Below are 4,065 nucleotides of genomic sequence, written 5' to 3'. Positions count from 1 at the left end.
TGATCTAACGCACCCTCTTCTTGCCTTTAGCTTGCAAGCTACCTTCATTATTCCTGGGTTTAGGCATAGCTAATTTTGGAAGACTTTTAGGTTCCAGATTAAATAATGGGCCTTTCCCAAAGCTCAACCACCTTTGTAAAGCTAATGAGAGACCCACCTTCAGGCTAGGGAGAGGAGAAGAGCCTGAATTCTGCTAAGGTATAGACATAAAGGATTGCCAGCCATTATTCCAGAGGTCCTGCAGGTAACATCACTAATGTAGAACCTAATATTGGCCTTTTCAGATCTCTTTTCAGGTTTTTTTGTTTTTTTTTTTTTTGGCATGGCTGACACCTGGCTCTACCTGGACCCGGGTGGACCCACCTGGACCAGACCACTCCTGTGGGCCTGCTTAAGAGTGATTCAGCTCAAGAGGACCACTTTGACCCATCATGATTTCATCTCCAAACCAACCAATCAGCAGCAAGCACGCATTTCCTACCTACCACCACCCCATCACCCAAACTGCCTTTGAAAAACCGCCAACCAAAGAGTCTTTGATGAGATTGATTTGAATAATAACTCCATCTCCTACATGACATGGCGTCATGGCTGGCCCTTGCTTCGTTAAAATCTTTTTTTTTTTTTTTTTCTTGAGACAGAGTTTTGCTCTGTCACCCAGGCTGGAGTGCAGTGGTGCAATCCCGGCTGACTACAGCCTCTGCCTCCTGTGTTCAAACGATTCTCCTGCCTCAGCCTCCCAAGTAGCTGGCATTACAAGTATCCGCCACCACGTCTGGCTAATTTTTTTTCTTCGTAATTTTAGGAAAGTTGGGTTTTCACCATGTTGGCCAGGCTGGTCTCAAACTCTTGACCTCAAGTGATCCACCCACCTCGGCATCCCAAAGTGCTGGGATTACAGGCATGAGTGACTGCGCTGGGCTAAATTATTTTTTTACTGCAGTGCCGTGATCTTTCTTTCTGCAGAGGGCAGGAAGAACCCATCAGTCGGTTACAACATGGGTTATGTTGCTGAGTAAAATTGGATTTAAGACATTTTGTAGGCTTGTTGTTTTCCTCCCTTGTATAATTTCATTCATAACTTTCCTCATCCAGATTTCTTAAACACATTTAATCCTGATAAGGACACATGTTGTTAAAAATCAAAGAATGTGTTCAATTAGCTAATTTATTCAGAAATATTAATAGTATTCCACAGGCAATATGACCAAGGAACAGAACACATTTTTTTTTAAACAAAAACAATTGACAGGCATTTTCACATTTTCCGTGAGGTTAGACTCACACTTCTTACTGAGACGTCCAAAATTCCATAATTAAATTTCATTCTGGCCACACGCAGTGGCTAACGCCTGTAATCCCAACACTTTGGGATGCCGAGGTTGGTGGATCACTTGAGGCCAGGAGTTTGAGACCAGCCTGGCCAACATGGTGAAACCCCACCTTTACTAAAAACACAAAATTAGCCAGGCATGGTGGCGAGCACTTGTAATTCCAGCTATTTGAGAGGCTGAGGCACGAGAATCACTTGAACCTGGGAGGCCGAGGTTGCAGTGAGGTGAGAACACGCCACTGCACTCCAGCCTGAGCAACAGAGCGAGACTCTGTCTCAAAAACAAACAAACAAAAAAACAAAAAACAAAAAAAACACCAAAAAACACTATGCTTTTTAAAATTAGGAGTAATAAGTCTCTATCACTACTTCTTAGTTCATCTGTGTGCTTAATCTAAAATAGTTAGAATTGCATGTGATTATCCCCTAAAGGCATAATTCAGGAATTGCTGACTAGCCACAACTTGGGGTTTTCAACACTCTTGTCTTCCGTGAGATATAAGAGCTTTCTTACCTTAAAGACGTTAGGCTGGTTGTGAATAACTGTATAAGAACCCCTCTAGGTTCTTACACAGTTTCGCTTTGGAAATCCGTTTAGTTTTCATCCGTATTTTCTTTCATCAAGAGTTTAAACATTAGGACATTTCTCAAAAACATATTTTCAATGCCAAAAAGTTATTCACGATGTTTCCGACTTCAATTGTTTTTATATTGAGTTGAAATTTGCTTGTGATTAAAACATCTGAGCCACTTCGATATTTTTACCAAAAATATAATATTCATGAATGAAACATATCTATAGATATATATAGCATATATATGCACACAAGACAATTATAAAGTCATTTAAAGTAGTTTTATTTGTTGATGCATATAATAAAGAGAAAATATAATTCCAATATTTGAAGACATGATATGCGGTATCAGCCACTAATTGTCAACTTAAATTATAGTTTCTTATCTTTAAAAACACTGCGTATCAAAATCGTTTTTGCATTAAAACAACTTTTAAAAATAAAAATGTCATATTGAACAAGAGCTATTTGCAAATTAATTGAACTCACTAACAATTGTTATTCCATGGAGAAGGAGAACTATTTATTAGCTAAGGCAGGCCACCCTGCTTTTCCCAGAACTGATGGTCATTCTTTGAAATCATTAATTTGGGGTTAATAATTATGTCCCAAAAATGTATCATGCAATTTTAAGAGTATAATTCAAATTAAAAGAAAAGAAACTACACACACACACACACACACACACACACACACACACACACACACACATTTCTGCTTGGCAATGGATGGAATAACATTATGCCAATGATGAATTGACTTACAGGTATTGCCAATTTTTCAAATAGATCACACATTTAACCATTTGCTAAGTTATAGTCCACAGGCAAGGGATGATAATTGGCAAATTAACAGCCCAAGTACAGATGACTCAAAGAAAGACAGGCTTGGAAGCCATTGCAATGCATTCACTAGAATGTGCATGGGTTTGGTCATGCTTCAATAATCTTCAAGGAGATTTATTTTTATTATTTATTTATTTATTTATTTATTTATTTATTTTTTGAGATGGAGTCTCTCTCTGTTGCCCAGGCTGGAGTGCAGTGGCAAGATCTCGGCTCACTGCAAGTTCCGCCTCCCGGGTTCACGCCATTCTCCTGCCTCAGCCTCCGAGTAGCTGGAACTACAGGCGCCCACCACCAGGCCCGGCTAAGTTTTTGTATTTTTAGTAGAGACGGGGCTTCACTGTGTTAGCCAGGATGGTCTCGATCTCCTGACCTCGTGATCCACCCACCTCGGCCTCCCAAAGTGCTGGGATTACAGGCATGAGCCACCACGCCCGGCCTTAGTTTTATTTTTTAAATGAAAGCATGTAACACATGGTTAAGAAATGATTACAGACTGAGGCAAAGAGTTTCTTTAAATTATTATTGTATTAGAAATTAAAATTAGATTGTATTAGAAATACTATTGCTTCCATTGTCCTTCCACATCAAAGCAATATAATATATAATATGTTAAAATAAATGTCAGTGAATTCATAATATAAATACAATGAATAAAATTAAGATATTTAGAAGAATCTGTGAATGATATGCATATGATCTATAAAAAGAAAGGTTTATTTTATTTATTTTATTTTATTATATTATGTATACATTTTTTGAGGCTGGGTCTTGCTCTCTTGCCCAGGCTGGATGGAGTACAGTGGTGTGATCACAGCTCACTGCAACCTCAGCCTCATGGCTCAAGCAATCCTCCCACCTCAGCTTCCCAAGTAGCTGGGACTACAGGGGCACACCACCACCTTTGGCTAATTTCTCTCTGTCTCTTTCTCTCTCTCTCTCTGTTTTGTAGAAACAGGGTCTCACTATGTTTCCCAGGCTTGTCTCAAACTTCTGAACTCAAGTGATTTTCCTGTCTTGGCCTCCTCAAGTTCTGGGATTACAGGTGCGAGTCACCATGCTTTGCCAAAGTTCATTTTAAACAAGATAAAATATATACAAACCATTAAATAAAATAGATATTTTAAAATATAAGGGCATCTGTTATGAAATCTACTCATAAAGAGATATAAACAAACATAAATTTTACGTTTTTATTAACATTTAGAAAAGTGATGAGGTAAAAATATTCCATATACATTGTTCCATATTCCAACAGTATTCCATATATGGAATATTCCATATTCCAAATAAAACAGACACCGGAGCACAC

The sequence above is a fragment of the Homo sapiens genome, chromosome X, assembly GCF_000001405.40.
Source record: "Homo sapiens chromosome X, GRCh38.p14 Primary Assembly".
Lineage (NCBI taxonomy): Eukaryota > Metazoa > Chordata > Mammalia > Primates > Hominidae > Homo > Homo sapiens.
The sequence above is the reverse complement of the archived record's forward strand: the minus strand, read 5'-3'. Positions refer to the sequence as shown.